The sequence below is a fragment of the Homo sapiens genome, chromosome 12 (assembly GCF_000001405.40).
Source record: "Homo sapiens chromosome 12, GRCh38.p14 Primary Assembly".
Lineage (NCBI taxonomy): Eukaryota > Metazoa > Chordata > Mammalia > Primates > Hominidae > Homo > Homo sapiens.
In genome coordinates, this window is record NC_000012.12 from 116710148 (window position 1) to 116738147 (window position 28000).

The 28000-nt window shown below is 44.3% G+C and overlaps 1 protein-coding gene across 5 annotated transcripts, besides 6 other annotated features; it reads right to left on the reverse strand.

The window, feature by feature from the left end:
- Positions 1-23: 23 nt before the first annotated feature.
- Positions 24-27922, reverse strand: SPRING1 (SREBF pathway regulator in golgi 1). 5 transcript variants are annotated; one of them, XM_024449189.2, is made up of 5 exons: positions 27707-27922; positions 12920-13076; positions 10149-10300; positions 9616-9729; positions 24-7746 (listed from the first exon to the last, which is right to left on the reverse strand). In XM_024449189.2, exons 1-5 carry the CDS (start codon positions 27818-27820, stop codon positions 7663-7665), a joined length of 621 nt encoding a protein of 206 aa, XP_024304957.1. In that variant the 5' UTR covers positions 27821-27922; the 3' UTR covers positions 24-7662. The 5 variants fall into 5 exon arrangements, with proteins under 5 accessions (XP_024304957.1, NP_079014.1, NP_001340552.1 ...); NM_024738.4 differs by having other exon boundaries at positions 27643-27922; NM_001353623.2 differs by lacking the exon at positions 12920-13076 and having other exon boundaries at positions 27643-27922.
- Positions 7045-7574: an enhancer, noted in NCBI's record as "H3K4me1 hESC enhancer chr12:117154997-117155526 (GRCh37/hg19 assembly coordinates)". NCBI's record gives its function as "activates a minimal SCP1, AML or CMV promoter by ChIP-STARR-seq in naive H9 embryonic stem cells {active_cell/tissue: H9 hESC(naive)}" and the evidence as "EXISTENCE:reporter gene assay evidence [ECO:0000049][PMID:30033119]".
- Positions 7575-8104: an enhancer, noted in NCBI's record as "NANOG-H3K4me1 hESC enhancer chr12:117155527-117156056 (GRCh37/hg19 assembly coordinates)". NCBI's record gives its function as "activates a minimal SCP1, AML or CMV promoter by ChIP-STARR-seq in naive H9 embryonic stem cells {active_cell/tissue: H9 hESC(naive)}" and the evidence as "EXISTENCE:reporter gene assay evidence [ECO:0000049][PMID:30033119]".
- Positions 16481-16982: an enhancer, noted in NCBI's record as "NANOG hESC enhancer chr12:117164433-117164934 (GRCh37/hg19 assembly coordinates)". NCBI's record gives its function as "activates a minimal SCP1, AML or CMV promoter by ChIP-STARR-seq in naive H9 embryonic stem cells {active_cell/tissue: H9 hESC(naive)}" and the evidence as "EXISTENCE:reporter gene assay evidence [ECO:0000049][PMID:30033119]".
- Positions 26464-27422: an enhancer, noted in NCBI's record as "H3K27ac-H3K4me1 hESC enhancer chr12:117174416-117175374 (GRCh37/hg19 assembly coordinates)". NCBI's record gives its function as "activates a minimal SCP1, AML or CMV promoter by ChIP-STARR-seq in naive H9 embryonic stem cells {active_cell/tissue: H9 hESC(naive)}" and the evidence as "EXISTENCE:reporter gene assay evidence [ECO:0000049][PMID:30033119]".
- Positions 27611-27660: a silencer, noted in NCBI's record as "silent region_4904". NCBI's record gives its function as "represses an Ori minimal core promoter by ATAC-STARR-seq in GM12878 lymphoblastoid cells {active_cell/tissue: GM12878}" and the evidence as "EXISTENCE:reporter gene assay evidence [ECO:0000049][PMID:35858748]".
- Positions 27741-28000: a silencer, noted in NCBI's record as "silent region_4905". NCBI's record gives its function as "represses an Ori minimal core promoter by ATAC-STARR-seq in GM12878 lymphoblastoid cells {active_cell/tissue: GM12878}" and the evidence as "EXISTENCE:reporter gene assay evidence [ECO:0000049][PMID:35858748]".

Consider the following 28000-nt stretch of genomic DNA (forward strand, 5'->3'; position numbering starts at 1 on the left):
TAAATCAATCTAACAGGAGCTAATTATTTTAAAATAATATGGACAGCAGGGTCCTACCTTTATTTACATACAAATACAAAATCCACGTTTATATACAAAATACAGGCAAAACGCTCCAGCGGAACTTTAATTAGTGGTTATCTCTAGGGGCTGGGAATCTAATTTGGCACAATTTAATTTCTTTGTAAGTTCATACATTTTAAGGTTTCTGCCTGGTAATCACAAAAGCAGAGAAAGGAAAACCTTTTACTGAGCTGAGCAATGCCTGTAGAAGCCCTGCTTAGTAGGAGTTCCAAGATGCTCTGTGTATCTCAGGTGAAGCACACCTAAATAATTGAGCACTGCATTAAGGCTCAGAAACGTAGTACCGTTGTGTGCTTCTCTGCCAAAAGGCAGCTATTTTTATGACAGAAAACACAGCAGCTGTTTTCACAGGTGCAGGGCAGCAGTACATGGGAAGTTGGTCCCAGCAGAGAAGGATATGGTGTCTCTTTAAAACTGGAGGAGGAAGAGGCAGAAAATGGTGAGCCCCAGTTGAAATCTGCAAGAGAGAAGGAGGAAGCCCTGGTTTGGAGAAAAACGGGCTCCAGATGGCTGGGCTACATTTGTCCTGTGAAAATCAAAAGCCTGGGACCCAGCCGCTGGGATACGAGGGCTCTGGTCTTGCTTTAACAGCCAGGGGGACTTTTGGCTTGTTACAAAAATTGGAATTTGGATCTGCAAGATACGCTAGCCATCACCCTTAATTGACAAATGAGGAAACCAAAGCCGGAGAGGGTAATTTACTCAAGGTCATTAAGGTCAGTGCTCTTGTCAATAAAATTAGGATATTGCTCACATACTTCATACTGCTTTTGTTACACACACACACACACACACACGCACACACAGAGCCAATGTATGGAAACATCCCTGAGAATATATAATGTCATCACATTTACTATTCAAATTAGCATCAACTGGTCAAATATTTATTCAGGTAGTAACTTACTCAACATTTCTATCTTGACATCCCCCAGTACAACTTAATACAATGCCCCAATCCCCACAGGACAGGACAACACTCTCTCTCGCTCTCTCTCTTCCTTAAGAATAGTGAGATGTGGCCAGGCGCGGTGGCTCACTCCTGTAATCCCAGCACTTTGGGAGGCCGAGGTGGGCGGATCACGAGGTCAGGAGATCGAGACCATCCTGGCTACTAACACGGTGAAACCCCGTCTCTACTAAAAATACAAAAATTAGCTGGGCACGGTGGCGGGCGCCTGTAGTCCCAGCTACTCGGGAGGCTGAGGCAGGAGAATGGCGTGAACCCAGGAGGCAGAGCTTGCAGCGAGCCCAGATCGTGCCACTGCACTCCAGCCTGGGCGATGGAACGAGAATCCGTTTCAAAAAAAAAAGAATAGTGAGATGTGACCAACATAGCCTGGAATCTTAAATTACTGATAATGGTGATTTCTCATTTAGACAACACTTTTTTCCCCTCCTCAGACAGGGTCTCACTCTGTGGCCCAGGTTGGAGCACACTGGCGCAATGACGGCTCACTGCAGCCTTGACCTCCTGGACTCAAGCCATCCTCCCGCCTCAGCCTCCTGAGTAGCTGGGACTACAGGTGTGCACTACCATGCCTGGCTCCTTTTTTTTATTTTTTGTAGAGACAGGGTCTCCCTATGTTGCTCAGGCTGGTCTCGAATTCTGGGCTCAAGCAATCCTCTCACCTTGGCCTCCCAAAGTGCTGGGATTACAGGTGTGAGCCACCACACCCGGCTGCCAACACCACTTTCGATTTTGGGATAATCTGGGTGCACAGTGATCAGAAGCTTACCTACCCCACGTTGCATAAAAAAAAGTATGAATTTAAAAATTCCAAGAGTAAACTACCCTATGAAAACCTCTGGCAGTGCTGATGAAAACACATTTCTGGTAGTGATATGTCTTGGTCCCTCTGGTCTCACAGAATGTGTAGTCCTGAGAAAAAATAAACCTGGACTCTTGGTAAAATATTTGAATAATTAACTGCTTTGCTCATTGGTTGTAACTGGCAAGTCATTCTCTTTACTACATTAAAGTCTGCACTTTCATTTTACAGACAGTCCTACAGTTCAACTCCAACATCAGGGACTGAGTCGTACACAGGAAGATCACTGAGTAGGTTCTGTGGAGACGCAGTCGGCCCATATGCACGTCACCACTCGGCTCCCAGCTCAGGTGCAGACCAACGGCGACCACTTGCTCCACTTTGCTCTGTGACAGCAGACGAGGTAAGGCATGTTGCAGATACATGCTGAATATAGGGATGCCTGTACACAAAACTGCACTCATGCTGTGATAACACGCAAAAGGTCACACACTGGAAGAGCCTTGCCCAACGAACGATAGACTAACAGGCCAGAGGCGGGGAAAGCTTCTCGGAGTCCCACTATCTTCTTTGTTTTTATTGCTCCTACTTACTTATGTGATACCTTTTTAGTAGAATGACTAGTTTTCTAAACAGAACCTGTAATGACAGGCTCACATTTCTTCCTCAACTCCCACCTCCAAAGCCACTCCATTCAAAGAACTGCTGGTGAGGTGCTGGGGAGTCAATCCGTCGTAGAGGGGAAGCGTTCTACCCCTCCAGATCCTTCTGCAGACAGGAGGGTGTCTGCATTCGGCGGAGTCCAAGAGTGCGGTGAGGACACAGTGGCAAAGGAATAATGCCATTCCTTGAGGCAGCGCTGGGCTAGTAGAGACCTGTGAGGAAGTAATGTGTCCTGTGGGGATTTCAGGGTAATTTAATCAGCAGCACTTCAGCAGGGTAGAAAGCAAGGGCGGGGAAAAATAATGAAGTCAGCACTCAGCTACCAGGAGCTCCTCTGTTCAATCTAACGGGGAGATATGACCCCAGAGCAGGGCTTCCCTCCCTCCACCCGGCTCCCACTTCCAGCCAGGTAATTCTGTGTCGTGGGGGCTGTTGGGCACCATCCCTGGCCTCCCTCCACGAGTGCCCACAGTACTGCCCTCCTCCCCACCTGTGACAAAAATGTCTCCAGACATTGCCAAATGTTCCCTGGGGGGCAAAATTGCCCCTGTTGAGCACCACTGCCCTAGATGAACTGGAAAAGTTGGTTTGTGAATATGTGAGCTTAGTTGTTTCTAACACAGGGCTGAAAAACAAGAGAAGGGGACAAAGGCTGCTTTCATATAAAAATGTACTGTAGTAATCAGTAAGAAAAAGAAACAACATTGGCTAAGTCACGAATAGGCATTTCACCATATGTACATGATAAATGGCCAATCAAAATAAGGAATGGGGCTCATTCTGCTGGAAATTAAATACATTCAAACAAGAACAGAGATCCATTAGCAAAATGTTTAAAAATAATATCACAGGGTTACCAGGGGTATGACAAAAATGGACACTTCCATACACACTAGGTGAATATATTGGTGAAAATAGTTCAGATAAACATACAACCATGTATGTAAAAGTATTTATCATCAATGCATTATTTGTAGTAGCAAAAACAACAAGCAGCCTTGGAAACCAGTTAATGTCCTCAGCAGGGAATTAATAATATTATTGTATATTCATGAAATTGACACCATGTGGCCACACAAATGCATTACACAGGCCTCTATGTAACATAGGATATTCATTAGAGAATTGTTTTTCAAGAGGACAAAGTACTTTCATTTTTGCCTAGAAAATGGGGGAAGACAAAAATGCGCTTCTCTCTAGGTTGTGTGATTTTAGGTTATCCTAAGTTTCATCCTTACGTGCTCCTGAATTATCTGAAATATCGTATCTTTAAAAACAGTAACAACAATAGTAACAAGAGCTCTGTAATTCCTACCCTTCCAACCTCAGGAGCCCACCCACCCCTATCCGAGCCGACCCCTGACTGCCCCTGCCATTGCTCCCTGCTGAGTTGCAGACATTGACTTCTTGCCAAGCCTCAGGCCTTGCTCACATCGACACCTCACAGTGACCCTGAGAGGCAGATGCTGTGACCCCATTTCACAGATGAAGGGCCTGAGCCACAGAGGAGGAAGACTGCCTCAGCCACGCCGCTAGTAAGTGGTAGTTCCCAACTCTAGAGTCCCAAAAGAATTCTGTCCTACTTATGAAAAGTATATCCAATAAGCAGTACCTCCCTGTGTTTACAACTTATCTGCTGATCCCAAGGATGGGAAAAGCTGCACTCAGAAACTTGCAAATTGTGCAACTGTTCCCCACGATTCCCTTGGGGCCAGTGCCGACTGAGGCATCTCCAGGAGGCCCCAGTTGGGCTTGGGGACATGCTGAGAGGTGACAGCACTGCTCTCAAGTCATATCCTCTGCTTCTGCAAAAGCTGTGGAGCTCACCCATCAATAGCAGCTCCATGCCGGGCGCAGTGGCTCACGCCTGTAATCCCAGCACTTTCGGAGGCTCAGGCGGGCAGATCATCTGAGGTCAGGAGTCCGTGACCAGCCTGGCCAACATGGTGAAACCCCGTCTCTACTAAAAGTACAAAAACTTAGCTGGGTGTGGTGGTGTACGCCTGTGATCCCAGCTACTCAGGAGGCTGAGGCAGGAGAATTGCTTGAACCCAGGAGGGGGAGGTTGCAGTGAGCTGAGATCACGCCATTGCACTCCAGCCTGAGCAACAGAGCAAGACTCCATCGCAAAAAAAAAAAAAAAAAAAAAAGGCTCTAGCATTGCCAGATCCCAGGCCCTGTGGAAGGTATTTCCCTCCCTCTTTTGTCCTTGCTTGTCTCAGAGCCCTTTTCACAGTCTCTTGTGTGCTTCTTTCCCTGTTAGGACCAATCTTTACAACTCCAGCAAGCGCAGCAAATAAGATGCAGAACTGGGGGAGATGCAACGTATGACTCAATTCCCTTGAGCCGAAAACACTCACTTATTAACAATATTTTTTTCTTTTTTTTGAGACAGAGTCTCACAAAAACAGGCACACGCCCCCACACCCGGCTAATTTTTGTATTTTTAGTATAGATGGGGTTTCACCATATTGGTCAGGCTGGTCTGAACTCCTGCCTTCAGGTGATCCACCTGCCTCAGCCTTCCAAAGTGCTGGGATTACAGGCATAAGCCACCACGCCCCACCAATGAAATGTTTTCTAAAGGTGTTTTCATCCCTTTTGTGATCTCCTAAACTCCCAAGGTGTATCACACACTTCGCTGGGCTCTGGGCAAACAAAACTTAGACAAGGTCCCTGATTCTAGAAACCCTCGGTCGAGGGAACCACAAACCAACCAGAGTGGAGGGCAGGGAGAGGTCCTAGGTTGGGAGCTGGGAGCCTGGAGCACGTGCCAGGTGCTCTGCAGCCCAGCTTCATTATGGAGGCTCAAGCGCTGTGAATTTCCAAAAACAGTGAACACACCCCTAGCTGATTGAAATACAAAAAACATATTCCACAGCCAAATGAAAATGACTTTTGGATCCTCCACCTAATTTGGGTGTTTATGCCGCCTCGCCCCTCTTTTGGCCTGGACAATTGAAATATATCTGCTCTCAGGGGAGACGCCCACGGTGTCAGGGCTGGAGTTGGCAAGAGACAGGGGGAAGAGGACTAGACCTGGAGTCAGAGATGAAGTTCTTGTCTGGGATCTGTCACTAAGTCTCAGCGGGGACCCAGGAAGTCACTCCACCTCTCATAGTTCCTCATCCACAAAGTGGAAATACAAGCAAGTTTAATTCTCCATCGTAAGGTTGGAGCTCCTGTCTGTGAAAGGACTGGAAATGTAAAATGCGCTCTTCAAGTACAAAGGCAGAGAGGATCCATAAACAGGCACAGGCTGCCCTTTGGTATAAACTGTTCACATTAAATCTATGTTATGTTGCTCAAGAGTTAAAATAAGCTCAAAGGAGAGGCTGATTCCAATGTCAACCCAGGGAAGACAGACACTGAAATTCCAAACTGAGTTACCAAAAACAATAGATGGATGAGACATGCAGACATGCCACAATCCGGCACATCAGAGTTCGATGTAGTCCTGCTGCAAACACATGGAATCCGAGAAGTCCAATGCAAACGGAATAGATTTCTTGGGATCTAATATTTTTCAAATTGCCTGACCAGCTTACCTTCTAGGAAAACTTATTTAAGGGAGGCAAATAATTTGGGGAGATGAGTATAAGAGGTAGTAGGAGGAAGCTAAGGGAAATCACCACTACATATTGCAGGAATGTATTAGAAGGCAAATATGGCCCAAAGAAAAAGCTCCACTGAAAAAAACATTGAATACTGACCACAGAATTAGCACCTTGCTCCCAGGTCAATAAAGTGAACCAAAAAAATTACAAAGACCTTGCTCAATCCTGAGGTTCGTGAGGAATATAGGAGAGTTGTGTGTTCACGTGACTCCTGAAAACAAAGAGCAGTACTATTCGAAGGGCATGATGTCTTGATCTTAGGATCAAATATTCTAGACCTTGAGCCGGAGAATCTGCATTACAGTAGGAAAAATGGGGAGTGCTTTATGCCTGTGGATTCAGGACACACCAGCAACCTACACGTGTAGCATTCTCTAAGTCATAATGACCATTCTCATCTCCCACTGAGGGCAGGTGTAAGACTCTTCTCTTGCAGTGCTCTGATAGAAAGCTGGGTTTCTTCTTCTTCTCTATAAATCATAGGGAAACCAAATATTTGTACCTGTTACAGCCCCAAAGCTGAAAGCAATAAAGAATAAACACATACAGCAAGCTACGAGGTGCGTCTGTTTAGGAATTGCCTCAACGTTGGGTTTCTATTGATAGAACAGGGGAGGAGGTTGCCTCTGACCTTCCTGAGGCTCCCACTGTACCCTGGCTGAGTAGCCCACAGTTAATTTTAAGTGGCAAAAGAAATGAGAACAAATTCCTCCAGGAAGAGAAATTAGATTTCTGCTAAAACAGTGCTCTCCATAGGGTATATGAGCACATTCGACTACCACTGGAAAATAACCTGAGGGCAGGCACATGGTGCCCACTGTTAGAAATCGTGCAGTTAGATTAGAATGGAAGAGTGTCTGAGTTTTTAGATAATTTTACACGTCAGGATATGGCTAACAGGTCACGTTCAGGGCCTATGCTTGATACTGTCGAAATACAAACAAAAATAACTGCCTAGAGAGAATATTCACGTCCTAAAAGAGAAAATGTTGTATCTGGGTGGAAGAATGATTTAACTCCTGAAACTCGAGAACACAGAACAACAACAAAAATAATTTCCTTGAACATATTCAACTAGAATGGCAAGGCATTTTCCTACATAAAACATTAGAATGTTCCCATTACTCCAAAGGAATCCAATAAATAATTTTACAGTGAAAGAGCCTGGATCAAAACTGGAAGTGACACCGGCCCCCGATGAACACAAGTCACAGGTCCCTGTGCAGGTCCCAGGGCTGAGTCATCCAAGAACTCCACCACCACCGTGAGCCCGGCCTCCGGTTTCATCTTTCCCGAATGGGACTGGCTGGAGGGGCCAAGCTGCTTTACAGAAGAGTTCCATCTGGTAAGCCCGGGTGGTGAGCGAAGCCAAAGATGACAACACGAGAAGGGGTCAAAGCCAAGGTTTCCTCACGCTGCCTTTGTCTTCTTCCTGCAGCCTGGCCCGATGGCTGAAGCTGGGTCCCAGGAGGCGAGTTCTTCAGCGGGGCCTCCTCACCCAGGCTGGAGCAAGTCCGCTGCACCCGTCAAGCGGGGAAGAGCTCGGGCGGGCTTTCTCCATAGCAATACTTTGCTATGGGGTCCCGGTAGGTGTTCTCATGCTGCACGCTCTGTTGGCAAAAGGAAAATAAGAGCGCAGTGAGAGCGAGCACAGCTTCACACACCTCCCTCTCGGAAGAGTGAGAGTGGATCGGGACTGTCAGACTCTCCCTGCAGGGGGCTGGCCGAGTCCATCTCCAAATGTCACTAAAGGCTCCAGGGCACTTTCTGGAACAAAGAAGAATGCTCAACCCAGAATGCCAATGAAGAGCATGAACACAGACATAACATCGCTGTGGGACTGTTTCTTTTTATGTACACCAGTGAGTTTTTAAATAACTTTGCTGTGACCTGGTGACTCAAGACAACTACTTTTCCTCAAATTACTTGAAACAGTCTAAGATCCAATGGGTGTTTTGCACCTGATCCTGAGCTTCACTCAGTTCCCGTAAGGAACCCTGCAGAGACACTAAGGAGATGCACTTTAAATTGCTTTCATAAAGTTTATGTACCTAAAAATTTGGGGCATGAGCCAAATCCTACAATACCATGCAAGCCTCATTTGGCTAAGCAAATTGGAAGTGTGATTTAAAGCAGACAATCATTCCTGATGGCTAATTTTTCAGCAATTTGTTTTCATACAAGCAACTTGGGTTTTTGGCTAGTCTAGAATTCATTAATTAGTCCAAGACCAATGCTAAGCAACAAACTTGTAAATATTCATCCAATTTAACAGACATATAGCCAAGTCTTCTCTTTCTTGGGATACTTTTATCAAAACAAATCAAATGGCAATTGGGAAATCTTTTTATGGTAAAAAAGACCAAGTCCTAAAGTATAGTAGCTTCACTGAAGACTGGAAATAATTCCTGGGTTTTATCAGTGAAGGAAAGAAAATACTTCGCCTTTTCTAGCGTTTCTCAGAATGAGAGAGAATCTGAATCAAAATGAGTCATGTGTTCAGCCTTCCTCCTCATTTCCTTTAAAGCTCATTCAAGTGGAAAGCTCTTCAAGCAAAACAAGACCATCAGGAATTTCTTAATGTTTTCAAATGCTCATTATAATCCCTGAAACATTTACCCAATGATACTGAATGCTCGCAGAACAAACCAGAGACATGAGAAGGGGCATAAAATCCAAAGGTGGACTACAGAAATCTGGCAAAGGGTACAAGAGCTTTGGAGAATGACAAATGAGTCCGTTATCTCAGACGAAGCCAGTAAAATCTTAGAGACACCATGAATAGGAGCCAGAAGAAGTGTGCTTGTATAATAAACACGTCTGGTGATTTTACAAAGAGAGCTATGACAACTGCCCAACCACAATAGCTGAGAGCCGAGGAGACAGTGATGAAAAGGCAAAAGACTTTCAGATGCTTTCAGCAGCAGGTGCAATAATATTTAATGCCAAAAGAGTGAAGCATTTAATGACAGCACGCTAATATGTATTGAGAGCCTGACAGCCTACAGATTTATTCGTGTATTTTTAAACATTCACCTGCCTCATCCCCTTGAATCCTAAAATAAACAGCGACTCCATCCCAGAACAAATTGCTACTTACTCTAAACAAGTGGTTACTGGAAAGCCTTAGTCAAATTTCAAAGACAGGGAGGAGGGCCTTCTCTTAGAAGCTGACTATTAGGACTCTACCAGACTTAAAAATAATTTTAAGCTTCCACTTAAGGAACAAATGTACCAACCACATAGAAGAGATGCCAGTTGATTAGACCTTGATTTAATATAAATGCTTCACCTCCCCTAACTTGTATAAATCTCACGTTGACATTTTAAATACTATCATCACACCAAACAAAGCGTGACACGGCTTCGAGTCTCTTCTCCCTTACCACCCCACCAAAAGGATCGACAGTGTGTATTTTCTAGTTTCCTTCTAACCCGTCAGCTGCCATCCCACAGCTAGAGACATCACAGCTTCTGACCTGAGATGAGGTCCTGCATTTGGCCAGGCACAACTCAAAGTGATCTTCGACTGCCATGAAGAGGTTCTGGAATGCCACGGCTGCCCGGTTGAGGAAGCGCTCCAGGAGAAGTTGCTATGGAAACAAAAGTTAGTGCCTGTAATAAATTACCTAAGCCAGCACAAGGTGACCTTGGCTATCTCTCCTAAACTAAGAGAATGCTGATACAGGGAAGGGGGGAAGAGGAGGAGAAAAGGAGGGAGGGGAAAGGACACACGCGTGCACACACGTGCATGCCAAAACACCCTGGGTATCTTATTCATTAGATATGTGATTAGCAATACAATGATCCATTCTGCAAAAGAACCATTCAAGCAACTGGGAACCACCTCCTTTCCTTAGATAAAAGCTATTGTGCAGCAATTTCTGACACCTACAAAGCTCCTTTCTAAGTTTTATTTTCAGAGGAATCTCACATGAAGAGCCTAATGCTCATCATAAAACAGAGGCCGAAAGAAAAAAGGAGCCGCAGAACCAGGATCAACTCCCCATACCTTGTTGGGCTGCAGGCAGCAGGAGACACAGTACTCATAGGCGCTGCAGCAGCCGTTGGGCCAGCAGCCATCACAGCAGTACTGCTTCGTGCTAGGGACGTTGACATTACAGCAGCCATTTACCAGCAAATCCTTCCTCTCGCAAACGTAGCCTGAAAGTCAGAGACCAACCTTAGCATAAAACCAGCAGCCTTGCCACCTCCCTACCAGGGATGACCATGAAGCAGCAGTGAAAGTACACAGACAGAAGCTGGAGTCTGGGGCATCATCCTAAGCACCGGAGAGCTGGAAACTGGACATAATGTGAGTGGGGCTTACTTTCCCCAGGCAGTCGTTTCCAGGAAGCAGGCACTCCCCTGTTATCGCCAGGCTACACGTCGGAACCTACCTACACCTACTGTTTAGTCGGCTGGCACATGTCTGATTTCATCATCAGGTCAAGCTACGGCTACGTTCTCCTATTCTAACCTATGCAAGCCAACGTCTCATCTGTGCTTGAAGAAAAATGTCATTCTTTTTTGAACAAAAAGTTTAAAACAGAAAAAAACCGAGGCACTGATTCACAAAAGTGAGGTCCTTCTAGATTTAACAAACAAACCACTCTTTACAAATATCTTTCAGATGCTCGCTGCATACTGACTAATTTGGAGATTACAAAAATAGAAATATTCACATCTAACCCTTATAAACTGATTTATACGTGTACGTGCCACGGACTCAATCACCCTTTGGCCTTTGGGAATGCAGTTCTCTAATACTCAAGAAAGAAAAAAACCTCTTAATCCCCCCCTCAACTTCTTATAAATCTCATCATCTATATACACATGCCCCTTCCAACCCAGCCCATTCATGGCCAACTTTAGAGAAAAAATCTTCTTACAAAAGCTAATGTATTGTTCAGAGCTGCTAAGCAGACATTTCTCTACATCCTTCTGGGAATGGGACAGAAAAATGTAAGGATAGGTCCACAAGGGCCACCACTGGCCCCGAGGAAAGTCCCAGGTGCACACATGAGCTCCCAGGTGCACGTTCAGGCCCACAGGTGCAGAGCAGCTGCTCCCCACATCACTGCATTCCAAACACCCCAGCTTCTTCATCCTCAGAGAAGGAGACTTGCTGAAGTATAAGGTTGTTTTCAGAAACTACTTTAGAAAACAAAGTCTGTTCAAAAGCAGGAGGCACCAGTAGAACAACAGTAACAAAGAAACTAAAAGGGCCCTCACTTAAGACTTGGGCAAATGAGGTCTATAGAGAACTGGGTTCCAGATACTTGGGAATCGGTGCCTTTTGTGGTAGTTGTTGTTTATGTTATTCTGTCTTCTAAATTAAGAGAGGATGATTCTAATGCTATAGTAAATGTTTCTTGGGATTCTTCCTATTTCTACTCATTTTCTTTTCAGGGACTAGAAACAAACACAAAATGTAATTAAGTTAGTTAGCATTTTCCTCAAAATTCTGCTCAAAATAATAAACACATAGCAACTGTATATAATGTGACCTAAACTCTGCCAGTTGAAATTCTCTTTCTGCCTTTTACTTTTCATCTTGTAAGTGTCAGCATCTCAGGCATCCTTTTTTTTCCCCACTGCCAACTTACAGTATTCAGCCTTGAAATGCAGCTCTTTCTAGCTTGGTGAAAGCAAGCTCATCAAGAACTCTCATCTTGTATCAGACATCTACTAACTCAAACGTTATCTCCAACAAGGAGTCCTGTAAGATCACAACCTCATACTGTGTTGCTATTGCCTTGAAAATTAACTTCCAGCCTTTGAAAAGTTTGTAAATGCAAATGATCTTATTTAATAATGTGTTACCCCGGCAATATTCACAGTGGCATCTGCTTGCTAAGAAGCGTAAGTTCTTACATGCTTTCTTTACTAAACTACTTACTTCACCCATACTCATGGAGAAAAATAAAACCTATAGCTCTTGGATTTTTATTAATTGATTGATTCCTTCACTCCTGGAATTTTTTACTCAAAGAGTCCAAGAGTCTCTGTCTTACCCAAATTAATCAAAAGAATATTCTTTCACTAGCTATGATAAAAGATGACAAACTGTGCTCACAACCCAGCACTAAAACATTAAAGTGAGAGTGTAAGATTTCATGTTTTCTCACTGAATGTCACACATCCTGTAAGAAGCCCTGAACTCCAAGTCAATGTCTGCCCACTGACTATGTCATCTTATGGAAGTAACTTCCTTTTGCTAAACTTCACTCTGCTTATTAAAAAACAAAACCCACATTATTTTCAATATGATTTGCTTTTTCAATGTGATCTGAAAAATATAGCTTGTCACTGGCATCACTGCTGAGTTGGGAATGCATTCTGGTCAGTCAACAAGTACATTTCTTGAGTGTCAACACAATGTGAATTTTACTCAGGTTACCAAGAAGGAAAACTGAGCTCTTATCCTATAGAGTTCACCCTCGAGATGAGAAAAAAAGATTGGCAAGATGGGGAAATAGTGAGGCTGGGGAGAGATTGTCAGAAGGGGCCTGGGGACTGATGCGTGACACAGTGCTCATGTTGTAAGTTGTAGGCAGAAAGAACTTTTAAGAGTTAGAGTTATCAAAACAAGCTTCTCTGATGTTGAAGGGAACCTTGAATGATGAGTAGGGTATAGAAGACAAAAACCTGGGGAATGTTGGAGATGAGCGAGGAGAGAAAATGTGTTGCAGAGGAATCCCTATTCAAACAAAAACCCTATGAATGGCCCAACCAGCCTACGCTCCTGACCGCCTGGAGAGGAAGGGAAGCCAGCCTCACCGAGTTCATCCGTGATGAGGTGCTTCCCTTGAATGGAGTTGCGGCACTGATTGCTCGGACGACTGCTATTGCCCAAGTTAAACTGCACTTTCCACGGGATGGGCTGATTATGGTCATGAACCTGGAGGAGATTCCTATCTCTCACTGCCCTCTCCTCCTGCAAAGAAACCATAAGTGAGAAGGTTAAGTATCCAGTATCCTTTCTTACAATTTCACCAGTTTTTCACAGAAACTACAGTAAGAGGACAGAAATACTATAAAAGGCTTACACTACCAGAATCTGCCCTCTCCTGGTACAAGCAAAGCCTGAGCCAAAGTCATAAAATAAACCTGTAGGAAAAAGTAATAAGCTAGTGCTATGCTTGAAAACTGGCATACTTACATGCGTGGCTCCTGGATGGCATGCACATCATAAATGTGTATAAAAGTGTTAATTTTATGAAAAAATTGGAGAGGAAAAGTTTTGGACTTTTTCTTTCTGATGGCAAGTAATTTAAAATATTTTTCACATTAAAACAAATACATTGTGGAACAGAACTTAAAATGTGAATACACTTTTTAAAGAGCAGAAGAAACTTTCGTGACTCTCATCTCAGACATCTAGAGCACAAAATCCCTTTCATTTGCAGTTACAGGTACTTTGGGTGGAAGACGTTTGGGAAAACGTGAATTAGGACATTGATTTTAGGAGCAAAATGAAGCATGTCAACTTGTGAATTTCTTCTGTGAAGGACCACTGAGTATGTAACCCGCTACGGAACACACCCAGGCCGGCCAGCCCTCTACCCGGACAAGCAATTGGAAGAGTTGCCCTGGAGTCAAGAGTTGAAGATCATCTCTTCTGGTCTTGAAGCTATGTCCGCTAGGAGCCAGCTTACAAAACTGCCTTTTCTATACTGTTTTCTATACTGTTATAATCTTTTCTATACTGTTAAAAAAAAAACTAAAGAGGAAGCTGCCTAAGTGCTAGAAAACAAGCCGAGCTTGAGACGGCCTCTTCTGAACGCTTCAGTAAGCTACTGGATAATAAAACAATGATGGACTTGAAACATTCACTGTTCTAACGGAGTTCTGTGGCTTTTACCTTTCAAAATAACCTGTCATGTGTTGCTTTTTAAGCAAAAGGGACTAATCTTGAAAATTTGATGAAGAAGCTTATATACTTAAAAAATGGTAAAGATCTTTATCGTTACTAAAATTTATCTAGGAAAGTAATCTAGGAAGTTCTGTTCGTATTTTAAAAATATATGTCTACATACACTTTGGCCCAGGAAACTCAGGTCTGTCCTATGGAAAACACCAATGTATAGGGAAATACAAGGATGTTTACTACATGATCGTTTCGATGGTATAAAAAACCTGAAACCTGCCGGGTGTGGTGGCTCATGCCTGTAATCCCAGCACTTTGGGGAGGCCGAGGCTGGTGGATCACCTAAGGTCAGGAGTTCAAGGTCAGCCTGGCCAACATGGTGAAACCCCATCTCCACTAAAAATACAAAAATTAGCCGGGCGTGGTGGTAGAATTGCATGAACCCAGAAGGTAAAGGTTGCAGTGAGCCGAGATCACACCACTGCACTCCAGCCTGGGTGACAAGAGCAAAACTCCATCTCAAAAACAAACAAACAAAACCCCTGAAACCCCAATAACAGAGAAATGACTGAATGAACACTGGTATAACAATACTGTTACAACCAAACTGAGATACGACTGATAGCTATTTAACTAGAGTAGCAGCTCTACAAACTGACTTTTGCACATTAGATTAATGTAGGGAGCATAAAAACAAATTCTGATTCCTAAGCCCACCTATGGGCAGGAAAATCTGTGGAGACCTGGGAATCAGTATTTTTAAAGTACCTAGATGATTTTAATACATAGACAGGGTTGCAGACCACTGCATGCCTATAGTGTATTATCAAGGGAAAAAGCAAGTTGCAGAATAATGTGCCTATCACACATATTATGATAATAATTATGATAATATGCACATATAAGTTTGTAAGAGCTAAGATAATGGTATGGAAAGATATACAGTAGTCTCTCTTACCCATGGTTTTACTTTCTGAAGTTTAACAGTTACTCGCAGTTAACTGTGGTCCAAAAATATTAAATAAAAAACTGCAGAAGTAAACAGTTCCTAAGTTTTAAATTGAGCACTGTTCTAAGTAGCATGGTGCAACCTCACGCCATCCCATTCCGTCCCGCCCGGGCTGTGCATCATTCCTTTATCCAGCATATCCATGTTAGTCACTTAGTAGTCACTCAGTTACCAGGTGGAAAAACAGTATGGATAGGGTTTGGTACTAGCCGCAGTTTCAGGCATCCACTGAGGGTCTCAGAACAGATAAGGGGGAACTACTATACTACAGACTACTAACATGGGAGGGACGTATGTGGTTATTAAAATTATCTTTAATCATTTTGGGAATATTTTTAATTTAAAATAAAGTGATAACATTAAAAACAGGATTATTAATAACAGAAGGAAATTAAGTAAAGATTCTGTAGAACTTTCTATTATACTTAGTACTTTTCTGGCCGGGCGCCATGGCTCACACCTGTAATCCCAACACTTTGGGAGGCCAAGGCGGGCGGATCACGAGTTCAGAAGATCGAGACCATCCTGGCTAACACAGTGAAACCCCGTCTCTACTAAAAATACAAAAAAATTAGCTGGGCGTGGTGGCGGGCGCCTGTAGTCCCAGCTACTCAGGAGGCTGAGGCAGGAGAATGGCATGAACCCGGGAGGCGGAGCTTGCAGTGAGCCAAGATTGCGCCACTGCACTCCAGCCTGGGCGACAAAGTGAGACTCCGTCTCAAAAAAAAAAAAAGAACTTTTCTGTAAATATATAATTATTCAAAAAATTGTTTGAAAAACACGATTACCAACATTAAAGGCAAAAATTGTCCATAATCCCATCAACTTAAATAAATTCTATTTCTTTTTGCATATTAACTTCTAGCTTTTGACCTCAACATTTACACAAATTAGGATGTTTTGCATTCAGCTCTTCTTGACACTAATTGGATAGTAAAACATTTCCAAGTCCCTACATTATCTTGATAATCACATTTTCAAGGCCATCTAATAATCCATCATGTTGATGTGCCATCATTTAGTAAACACATCCTCTATAGATCAATATTAGGCCCAGGTTTTTGTTATCATAGATAATACTGCAATAAAATGTGGAGCTTTTAAAACAATTCTCTTGAATAACTTGTAGTAAAATGCTATGTAGTGCCAAATAATGTCCCACATTACATCTACCACCTGTAATAGTACCAGCATTTAAATAACAGTGTTTACAATTTGACCACAACCCCACCAGTAGCGGATTTTGTTCTTTAATTTACCGTCTTTCAAGGTGGCTTTAATTTCTATTCTGCTCCCTCCCTTTTGTTTCTTTGCAAAGAAAGAACTGGTACTAGCAGGACCGGGAGGGGGGCGGTTATACAAAAGCAACATCTGTATTCCTCAGTTATTGCAAGAAGAGGAGCTAGGTGCAGGAGCCCTGGGAGTATGGGACAAATCACTTAGGTGCATGCTGCTTAACTACCTGTAAATTCATACTCTTCTGCTCTACTGGGACCCTATCAGTTAACTGCATCCATCAAGCTATGTGCAAACTAAACTGAGCTGCAAATGCTACCCTAGATAAATTAATAGCCATAAAGATTATTAAGAGCTTGGTCAAAGTACAGTAAACTGGATTTTACGACAAGGTTAAAAGTGCTCTTAACATTACTCCCACGCTATCCTGTTGTTCTTCCAAAAGAAAACAAGAGTTCACAGTCAAGTGCATCCCAGAAGGACCCCTGCCACATCATGACATTCCTGGTAAACAGGAAAGCAATTCTCCCAGCACTTCAATGCGTTTCCAAACACGAATATTCAAGACCTTGCCAAAAGGACAGTGAAAGCATGTGGCAGAAATAACTTAGCAATGTTTGCTTTTTTGAAGGCCCAGTCTTGCAAAGGGTGCTGAGGACATTCCTTCACAGGATAGGGAGCTTTCTACCTTTCCTGAACTGTTTCACCTACCCTATTAGGTTGTCTCAATTTTAAGCTTTTCTTCATATTTATATTTTTTCACTCGAAATTCATTCAAAGATATCTAGTTCTTACAGAATGCTAAGGATGCAGAGATGAACGGCAGTCTGGTTCTGTATTCGAAGAGCCTCAGAGCTGTTGAGAAAGGGGTACCTCCATATATCAGTGCGATCAGGCACTGCAGATGCTGTGACACATGTCCACATGGGGTGCACTAGGTACAAAGAGAAGAGCAGGAGCCAAAAGTACATGAGGGCTTTCTTCCTAATTGTAAAGAGCTACAGAAACACACTGTGATTACTAATGCGTTGCTTTGTGTCTCACTTCAGAAGGGCTGTATTCATAACTGTGCTGTGTACTTTTCAGGAGTTATCACAGGTCAAGTGAGATAAATGTCCCATGTAAGCAGTAAAGCACGGAAACATAAGGCACTCTTATGAACCTCAGAAAAAGAGGGGAGGGGGAGAAAGGCCAGAGGGTACTCCAAATGTCTAGTATTTGGGAAATGGCTAAATGCAGCCTGATAATGGAAATTTTTAGTTATAAAAATCCTATTTCCAAAGAGCTTTTAAAGATAGGGAAATGCTTATATGTTAAATGAAGAAACAGTATGCCTCAACTATACAAACAAGAAGGATGAAAAATGGCAGGAAGAAAATATGCCCAAATATGAACAGTGGATGCCTCTGGTTAGTGAGATTATGGGTAACTGTTCCTCTCCTCTACCCTGTGCAATACGAGACAAACATTCTGCAATATATATATATCTCTCTCTCTTAATAATCAGTGCAAAACAAAAAAATCCCCACCAAATTAGCAAGTCTCATATTATATGATATATACTTCACTCTAGACAGTATCTAACTTGGCACCAATTTACACACTTAGCTCCTTTAAGGCTGAACACGTTCGTAGATTTTCAAGGAGTTATGCAAACAGCCCTGAGACTTTCAGGAGCTGCACCACTTGAACACGTATGAGAACATCTGGTTACACGAGAGGAACTCTAAGGACCCTTCTGACTCCCAAGATGGGAACTTGTTTAATCTCAGGTCAAATGCCTCGCATAGTTAGGCCCGCCCTGCCACTAGATCATGTCATCCTGTTTTGTTTTCTTCATAACATACATCATTATCTGAAATCATTTTGCTTATTTACTATCTCTCCTCCTTACCCGCTAGTGGAATATAGGCTCTTGGAGGGGAGAGACGTCATCTGCTTTGCCCACTCTGTCTCTGCCATCCAGCAGAACAGTGCCTGGCACACAGTTGGTGTTATTTGTTAAATAAATGCACCCAAGAAACCTGGTACCATTCACCATTCCCAACCCTCCCCTCAATGGCATCCCCACCATCATCACTGATTTCTTCTGCCTCCCATCTCTACAATTTAAGTTATCCCCCATAGCATTAATTAACATGAAAACCAAAGAAAAGAGGAATTCAAAGCAGCAGAGAGGATAATCAACTATTCTCCAGGCAAAAGCTGCCGCATCTGCGCCATGAGTTTCCAGTCTCACCGCAGCGGAGCTAAGGTGCACGGGGAGCTTCACAGTGTTCATAGCGTCTTCTCCATCAACGGTACACACCCTGGACCCGTACACTCCATCTCACCATCTCCATTTTACAGAGGAAGAACCCCAACTCCCTCAAGGCCCACAGCTAGGGAGTGGAAGACCACCCAAACTGAGGCCAGCTGAGCAGGGACGGCCAAGTCAGACGCATGCAGGAGCGCCTCTGCCAGAGCACCCAGGACAGCGGGGCTCAAAAGCCTTTGGTCCTGGAACCCTTTCTAATCTTAAAAATTACTGAGGACCTCAATATGTGGGTTTATGTGAGTTATGGCTATTGATGCTTACCATATTGAAAATTAAAACATAAATCCTTAAAATGTTTATTTTAGATCGTTTTTATTCATTTAAAAATAACAACAATGAATTCGGTACATGAGTTTTTTGTGAAAAAACACTTAAAAAAATAGTAAGGAGAGGGGCAATGTTTTTATATTTCTGCAAACCTTTTTAATGTCTCCCTCGATGGAAGACAGCTGAATCTCCGAAGCGACCTCTATATTCAATATCTGTCACAATATATTGTCTGGGTTGGAATACACCAAGAAAATCTATTCCACACAAATGTGTAATTGGAAAAGGGAGGACTACTTTAACAACTTTTGCAGAAAATTATGGATAATACTAAAGCATACTTGACACTAAATACTACACCAGAATTTGACAGCTGCAGGTTCCTAAAAGTTCACTGCACACAGTGCAGCCAGTTTGGAAAACAGTTGTGCAGTTCCTCAAAAAGTTTAACACAGATTTACCATCTGACCCAGTAATGCCACTCCTAGGAATATACCAAGAGAAATTAAAACATGTCCACATGAAAACTTGTAAATGAATGTCTGCAACAGCGTTATTCATAATAACTAAAAGGTGGAAACAACCCAAATGTCTCTCAATAAAGAATGAATAAACAAAATGTGACAGATGCACACGATGGAATATTATTCGGACATAAAAATGAAGTGCTAATACATGCTAGGACATGGATGAACTTTGAAAACATTATGCTAAATGCAAACGCCAATCAAAAAAGACCACATATTATAGAATGCCAATTATATGAAATATCTAAAATAGGCAAAACTATAGAAACAAAGTAGATTACTGATTGCTTAGGACTGAGGGGCAGGGGGAAGATGATGATGAAAATGTTTTAAAACTACTGGTTTGTGAATATACTACTTTTTTATTTTTGTTTTTATTTTTATTTATTTATTTATTTATTTTTTGAGACGGAGTCTCGCTCTGTCGCCCAGGCTGGAGTGCAGTGGCGCAAATCTCGGCTCACTGCAAGCTCCGCCTCCAAGGTTCATGCCATTCTCCTGCCTCAGCCTCCCGAGTAGCTGGAACTACAGGCACCCACCACCACGCCCGGCTAATTTTTTGTATTTTTAGTAGAGACAGGGTTTCACTGTGTTAGCCAGGATGGTCTCAATCTCCTGATCTCATGATCCACCCGCCTCGGCCTCCCAAAGTGCTGGGATTACAGGCGTGAGCCACCACGCCCAGCCTTATTTTTACTTTTTAATTTTTTTTTTGAGACAGTCTTGCTCTGTCACCCAGGCTGAAGTACGGTGGTGGATCCTGGCTCAATGCAACTTCCACCTCAGGTTCAAGTGATTCTCCTGACTCAGACTCCCGAGTAGCTGGGATTACAGGCACCTGCCACCACACCCAGCTAATTTTTGTATTTTTAGTAGAAACAGGGTTTCACCATGTTGGCCAGACTGGTCTGAAACTCCTGACCTCAGGTGATCCACCCATCTCAGCCTCCCAAAGTGCTGGGATTACAGGCTGAGCCATCATGCCCAGCCTGTGAATATACTACAAACAAGCGTTACATACTTTAAATGGGTGAACTGTATGATATGTGAATTATATCTCAATAAAACTTACCAAAAAACCCAGTTCCTTCAGCACAATGTGGCATCTGAAACCATATCAATGAATTTTTCATAAACTGTTCAGATCCATGAGTCTGTGTTGCACATTGAACAGATCTTACGCAGATCTTCTAATTGACACATTTTCATTATACAATACTAAAAAAAATCACACTTGTTAATATCACCAGGGATTTAATCTTTAGGTGTTAGAAAGTTACAAGCTAAGCGTAGCAGATACGCATTTTCCAAAATTCTAATTTTCACTTGAAAGCTTAAATATTATCATTGGCAAATAATGTCAGATGTTTTCTGTAAAGTAACAAGCTCACTTCATTTTCAAGAAAATGTCTACCAAATACCCAAATCTGAATAACTAGTGTATCAGTTGTTCTTTCAAGAAAAAATAGTGTTCCATGAAAAAAAGTGGCTACTTAAGCTTGCAGCTCAATTGCCAAAGCTCTTCCTCAAGACACCCATCATATTTCTGTAGGCAGAACGTACTGTTAGGCATATTTCCCATTTCATTCTACAGGAAAGATATGTACTTGGGGATCAAAATTTAGCAAAAGTAATAATTTTGACTGCTTTATTCTTAAGTGAAATTAGTACTTTTTAAAAAAACTACAAGTATGGCCGTGAAGAATACGACAACTAGTAGCACAGTCTGCTGCCGCTGCTTTGACCCTTGCTAAGGTACTGGCTTGACCCCCCATGACTTCTGCACCATCAGTGGAAGTGTCAACAAGGTGAAAAAAGCAAATAACATTTTGTCGTTATTCTGAAAAGAATTCTGGCCTTGCAGATCCCCTGACAGAGTCTCAGGGGCCCTCTGGGGTCCACAGACCACATTTTGGAACCCAGTGGGTTAGGTTATTATAAAAAACTAAAGGCTGGGTGCAGTAGCTCATGCCTATGATTCCAGCACTCTGGGAGGCTGAGCCAGGCCATTGCTTAAACCCAGGAGTTGGACACCAGCCTGGAAAAAATAATGAGGGCCCATATCTACCAAAAAAATAAATTAATTAATTAGCTGGGTGTGGTTGCCCACGCCTGTAGTCCCAACTACTTGAGAGGCTGAAGTGGAAGGATCCCTTGAGCCTAGGAATTCGAGGCTGCAAAGAGCTATGACGGTGCCACTTTACCCCAGCCTGGATGACAGAGCAAGACCCTGTACCAAAAACAAACAAATAAACAAAACCAAGTTAAAAAAAAACCCTAAGCCTCAGTGGCTTCACAGAAGATTGTTTCTTGCTCATGCTACAAGTCTAACATGGGTAAGCCGAGGGGTTCTGCTCATCCTAGTCCCTCAGGCTGAATGAGGCCCCCTCTCAGCACATGTCCTCCACGGTCACCACGGCTTCTGCCTGCAAGTGACAGTTCACATTGTATAAGCCAATGCAGGCCACACAGCCACCCTCCTTCCAAAAGGGTGGGAGCCAATCCCACCATGCACCCAGAGGAGGATGACCAACTCCTTGTGAACAACCCTGCTAACTACTACCCCAGGAGATCAGGCAAGGACATAATGAGTCACTGAGTGGTCCAGTGGAGGGCAGATCCCAAGATCTAAAGGACTGCAGCTTGGCTCAGTTAGTTCCCCAACTGCTGCTGGAGCAGACATAGACCCAGTGCTGACAAGTATCCTGGTATTTCAAGAGAAGCCAGAAGAAAGGATTTATATAAAATCTCATACATTTTTAATCCCTTTTTAAAAATACCGGCCAGGCACAGTGGCTCACACCTGTAATCCCAGCACTTTGGGAGGCCGAGGCGGGTGGATTGTTTAAGCTCAGGGGTTCAATACCAGCCTGAGCAACCTAGTAAAACCCCATCTCTACTAAAAATACAAAAGGCTGGACGCACTGGCTCATGCCTGTAATCCCAGCACTTTGGGAGGCCGAGGCGGGCAGATCATCTGAGGTCAGGAGTTCGAGACCAGCCTGGCCAACATGGCGAAACCCCGTCTCTACTAAAAATACAAAATTAGCGAGGCATGGTGGTGCACGCCTGTAATCCCAGCTACTCAGGAGGCTGAAGCAGGAGAATCACTTGAACCTGGGATGAGGCGGTTGCAGTGACCTGAGATTGCATCACTGCACTCCAGCCTGGGTGACAGAGTGAGACCCCATCTCAAAAAACAAACAAAACAAAACAAGAAAACAATAAAAACCATGCAAGCAAAACCAAGGTTGTATGTTACCCATTTCATCTCTATCATGATGGTTACAAATTGAGAATGTGGGCTTTAAAATCAGGTGGCCCTGAATCAGAGTCCCAGCCTGAGCCATCACAAAGAAACAGTAGCCCTAAGCACAAGGAATTCCTACAAAGTGACAGAGACATCCAATAGTAAAATGGTCAAAGGACATGATAAGGCCACTTCAGATGCACAACAGTCAAATTACCAAAACCAGTAAGATGTTCATCTTCAACCACTAGTCAGGGAAATATACAGCACAGTAATAAAGATGGGGAATAAATCTGTAAGGTTATCTGAAAAAAGCGTTTTAAGTGTTACTGAAGGACACAGAAGAAGGCAGGATGTGGAGGGGGAGACAGGGATACTGGTGATCCTGACCCTGTGAAGGCCTAGGCTAACGTGTGTGCTCGTCTTAGTTTTTTTCTTTTCTGAGACGGAGTCTCTGTCGCCCACGCTGGAGTGCACTGGTGCGATCTCGGCTCACTGCAACCTCCGCCTCCTGGGTTCAAGCGATTCTCCTGCCTCAGCCTCCTGAGTAGCTGGGACTACAGGCGCGTGCCACCAAGCCTGGTTAATTTTTTGTATTTTCAGTAGAGACAGGGTTTCACCGTGTTAGCCAGGATGATCTCAATCTCCTGACCTCATGATCTGCCCACCTCGGCCCTCCCAAAGTGCTGGGAATTACAGGCGTGAGCCACTGCGCCCGGCCTCATCTTACTTTTTAACAAAGAAGTTTAAAAAGTAATAAAACAAAATAGAAAAACAGGAAAAAAAGCATATAGAATAAGGATATAAATAAGAAAAATATTTTTGTACAGCTTTACAATGTGTTTGTGTTTTCAGCTAAGTGTTAAACACAGCCAAAAAGTTAAAAAAATTAGTTTATAAAGTAAAAACATTACAGTAAGCCAATGTTAATTTATTATTAAAGAAAAATCTTCAAATCAATGTAGTGTGGCCCTGTGTGGACAGCTGACAGTAGTACACAGTAATGTGCTAGGCCTTCACGAGTTCACTCACCACTCACTCAGTGACTCATCCGCAACAACTTCCAGTCCTGCAAGCTCCACTCACGGTAAGTGTTCTTTATGGGCGTACCATTTTTACTCTTATATTTTTTGAAACACAGTCTCACTCTGTTGCCCAGGCTGGAGTGCAGTGGCGTGATCTCGGCTCACTGCAACCTCCACCTCCCAGGTTCAAGCGACTCTCCTGCCTCAGCCTCCTGCATAGCTGGGATTACAGGCGTGTGCCACCACACCTGGCTAATTTTTATATTTTTAGTAGAGATGGGGTTTTGCCATGTTGGCCAGGCTGGTCTCGAACTCCTGACGTCAAGTGATCTGCCTGCCTCAGACTCCCAAACTGCTAGGATTACAGGCGTGAGCCATCGCACCCAGCCCATTTTATATCTTTTATACAGTATTTTTACTGTACCTTTTCTATGTTTAGATCTATTTAGATCCACAAATACCTTCCATCGTGTTGCAATCACCTACAGTATTCAGTACAGTCACATGCTGTACAGGCTTAGAGCCTAGGAGGAATAGGCTATGCCACATAGCCCAGGGGTGTAGCAAAATCACCTAAAGATGCATTTTTCAGAATCTTGAGCGACGCATGACTATAATCTTAAAATGAAGATGATGTATCAGGGTAGTGAAAAGGTGGTTGTAGGGAAGGTGACAGAGTGGACAGCACCTGAGCCAAGAGGTGAAAGGTTAGCAGAAGTATGCCAGACTGAAAAGAAACATTCATCCCAGTTAAAAAGACTCACTTGTTTGTTCAATCAATATTTGGATTCCCATGAAGTGGCTGGCAGTATCCTAGGGGCTGGAGAGTCTATGAACAAGACAGACAAGGTCTCTGTTCTCAAGAATATTATAGTCTAGAAGAGAGAGTGAGGCAAGACAGATAAGCAAGTAAATGAACAAGAAATGTTCAGTTTGTGATGCCTACCACAAAGAAAATAAAGCAGGTTTATGAGCAAGGAATTGAAGTAATTTACACCGTGTCACCAGGTATGGTCTGAAGCAGTAACAGTCTGACCTGAAATGACAAAAAAGATTCAACCATGCAGAGATCCTGGAAGACAATCCAGAGTTTTATCTGAGAATTTTACCTGGGGAAATGCCATGATGATCCCATCTTTTTAAAGATTATCACCCCTACTGCGGGGAAGAGAAGAAGACAAGAATGGAAGCAGAGACTTGCAGCTGGGCTACTGCAGTGGTCCAGACGAGAGATGCCAGTGGCTTGGCCTAGAGTGACAGCAGTGACACTCTGAAGAAATGAGCAGATTCAGGATACACTCTGGAGGCAGAGCCAATATTGTGGATATAGGGAGTGAGAGGAGAAAAAAAGAATGAAGTGGCTTTAATACCTGGTGAACAGTAATGCCACTGAGCGAGACTGGGAAGACTCGGGGAGGAACAAGTGCTGGCAGAGAATCAAGAGTTCTGTTGGTCCAAACACGAACACATTCAACGTCAACTAGAAAGTAGGAGGGTGGTTGCCGGGGGCTGGGGAAAGGGAGAAATGGAGAGTTATTGTTAAATGAATATTAAGTTTCAGTTTCTACAAGCGTTATGGGGATGGATGGTGGTGATGGTCGCACAGCGTTAAGGATGTATTTAATACCACTGAACTGCACACTTTAAAAATGGTTAAGATGGGGCCGGGCGTGGTGGCTGACACCTGTAATCCCAGCACTTTGGGAGGCCGAGGCAGGTGGATCACTTGAGGTCAGGAGTTCGAGACCAGCCTGGCCAACATGGCGAAACCCTGTCTCTATTAAAAATACAAAAATTAGTCGGGTGTGGTGGTGCATGCCTGTAATCCCAGCTACTCAGGAGGCTAAGGCAGGGAGAACTGCTTGAACCCGAGAGGTAGAGGTTGCAGTGAGCTGAGATCATGCCACTACACTCCAGCCTGGGTAACAGAGTGAGACTCCATGTTAAAAAAGGTTAAGATGGGAAATTCTGGCCAGGCGTGGTGGCTCACACCTGTAATCCCAGCACTTTGGGAGGCTGAGGTGGGTGGATCACCTGAGGTCGGGAGTTCAAGACCAGCCATGACCAACATGGAGAAACCCCGTTTCTACTAAAAATACAAAATTAGCTGGGCATGGTGGCGCATGCCTGTAATCCCAGCTACTCAAGAAGGCTGAGGCAGGAGAATCATTTGAACCCGGGAGGTGGAGGCTGTGGTGAGTTGAGGTCGTCCCACTGCACTCCAGCCTGGGCAAGAGCAAAACTCAGTCTTTAAAAAAAAAAAAAAAAAAAAAAAAAAAAGATGGGAAATTTTATGTCGTATTTTACCACAATAAAAAAAAATTGAAAAAAAAAAAAGATATCAACTAGGCAATTGGATATAAGAATTTGGGGATTTCTGGACAGATCTAGGCTGTTGTTATCAACTACTGGCATCAACAGCATACCTCCAGAGATCACCTGAGTATTTAAACAATGGCCCAGAGATTACCTGAGTCAGATAGAGAGGAAGGCAGAGGACGGAGTCCTGGCGCACCCCACCACTCAGGGGTCACAAGACAGAGAAGGGACAACACGCGACTGTGAGGAGGTGTCTGAGGTGGCAGAAAACACAAGTCACAGAAGTCTGGTAGTCACATGATTGCCCAGACATCCCGGCCAATAAAAGGGACTTACAACACTCAGCCTCTCTGTTTGCCTAAGGTGGCAGGTCACGTACAATTCCCTATTCTTCCCTTTTCACAGCTCCCCTGCCAATCCACTAAATGTAGAGTGACCACATAGTTTTATCAATGTTCTATTCACTTATATATTTTATTTACACACTTGAGCTTTGAGAGTAAAAAGGAGAGCTTTTTATAACCATGTCAGGACAACAGCATAACCCATTATCCTGGGTGCACCCTGGGGTGTAACCACCCTTTCTACACAACTAAGCACTCAACCTGGACTTCTAGACAAACTTATTAATGCTTTGGGTAAGATTTCCCCACCCGTGCTCCTTGCTGTTTCTCCCAGAAATTCTCACATGGAAGAAAAATGAAAGGGTGCAGTGTGTTGGAGGGGTGGAATTCTACCAATCAAGTTATGCACAAAAAGCATAAAAGGAACTGTGGGTCCTTTTGAGTCACCCAGGAGGACACAGAGCCCCCAAATTAAACGAAGGGCACCCATGCGAGGGCTGGCCGACCCTCGCCACCTATGTCTTGGTTTCCCCCACTGTAATACTGGGAACCCCACTTCTCCCAGGCCTGCTGCGAAGATGAAGCCAGCAAATGCACGCCCTCTCTTAGCTCTGGACCGGGCAGGTGAAAAGCAGGGAGGTGTTCATAAAAGCAGTCCCCACCGCTGAAGGGTCCTCAACTCGGGGTTCTAGTCCCAGCTCTGCCCTGGCCTAGCAACCCCTTCCCGCTGCAGGGACCAAGGCGGTGGGCAGGTCCCTCACCCGTGCTGAGACCGGGACAGGAATGCGCACCTCTCCCCACCCTCGGACGCCCCGGCGGCGCCGCTGCAGAAGTCGGGAGGTCGGACAAACGCGAGGAGTAAGGAAAAAGAGGAGGAAGGGAAGGAAGGAGGAAGAACGAAGTGAGGAAAGAGGATGTCAGGGAAGAAAGGGAGTAAAGGAAGAAGGAAGGGAGAGGGGGACAGAAAGGAGGAGGACGGAAGGAGGAAGGGAAGGAAGAAAGACGGAAGGGAAGGGAGAGGAAAAAGGGGAGGAAAGAAGAAAGGGAAGGGGGAGGAAGGAAAGGGGGAGGAAGGAAGGAGGAGGAAGGTGAGGAAGGTAAGGAAGGAAGGGAGGCAGGGAGAGGGGAAGGAAGGAGGAAGATAAGGAAGGAGGGGAGGTAGGAAGAAGGGAAGGAAGGAGGAAGGAAGGGAAGGGGAGAAAGAAAGGAAGGGAAGGGGTAGGAAGACAGGGAGGAAGGAAAAAAGGAGGAAGGTAACGAAGGAAGGAAGGAGAAAGTAAAGTAAGGGGGAGGAAGGAAGGAAGAAGGGAAGGGGAGGAGGGGAAGGGCGGCCACTGACCTGCTTGAAGGTGCTGCTGAGGAAGTAGACGAGCGACAGCCCGAAGACCAGGGCGAGCACCCACCTCTTCCGCAGAAGCCGGCGCCACACCATGGCCGCCAGGTTCACCATCCCGGCGCGGACGTGGGGCGCGGCGGCCGGGGCGCGGAACGCGGCAGGCCCGGGTCCCGGGCGGCATGGCCCCTACGCGCCCGGCAGCCCCATCCCTCCAGGCAGGCGCCGGCCCCGCCGCCCGCAGCCCAGTCTGCTCCCGGCAGCCTTGGGCGCAGCCCCACGTGACCCCGCCCTACGCCCCGCCTCCGCTCCGCAGCGACAAGGGCTAGTCGCGCAAGATCTTCTCACCATTGGTCCCTAAGGA

Excerpts from the sequence above, each read along its gene's own strand:
- SPRING1 (XM_024449189.2), bottom strand. The coding sequence starts at position 27,820 with ATGCCGCCCGGGACCCGGGCCTGCCGCGTTCCGCGCCCCGGCCGCCGC. Across the intron at positions 10,301-12,919 it reads CCTCATCACGGATGAACTCG|GCTACGTTTGCGAGAGGAAG; the intron begins GTGAGGCTGGCT and ends TCTGACTTTCAG. Across the intron at positions 9,730-10,148 it reads GCTGCCTGCAGCCCAACAAG|CAACTTCTCCTGGAGCGCTT; the intron begins GTATGGGGAGTT and ends TTGTTTCCATAG.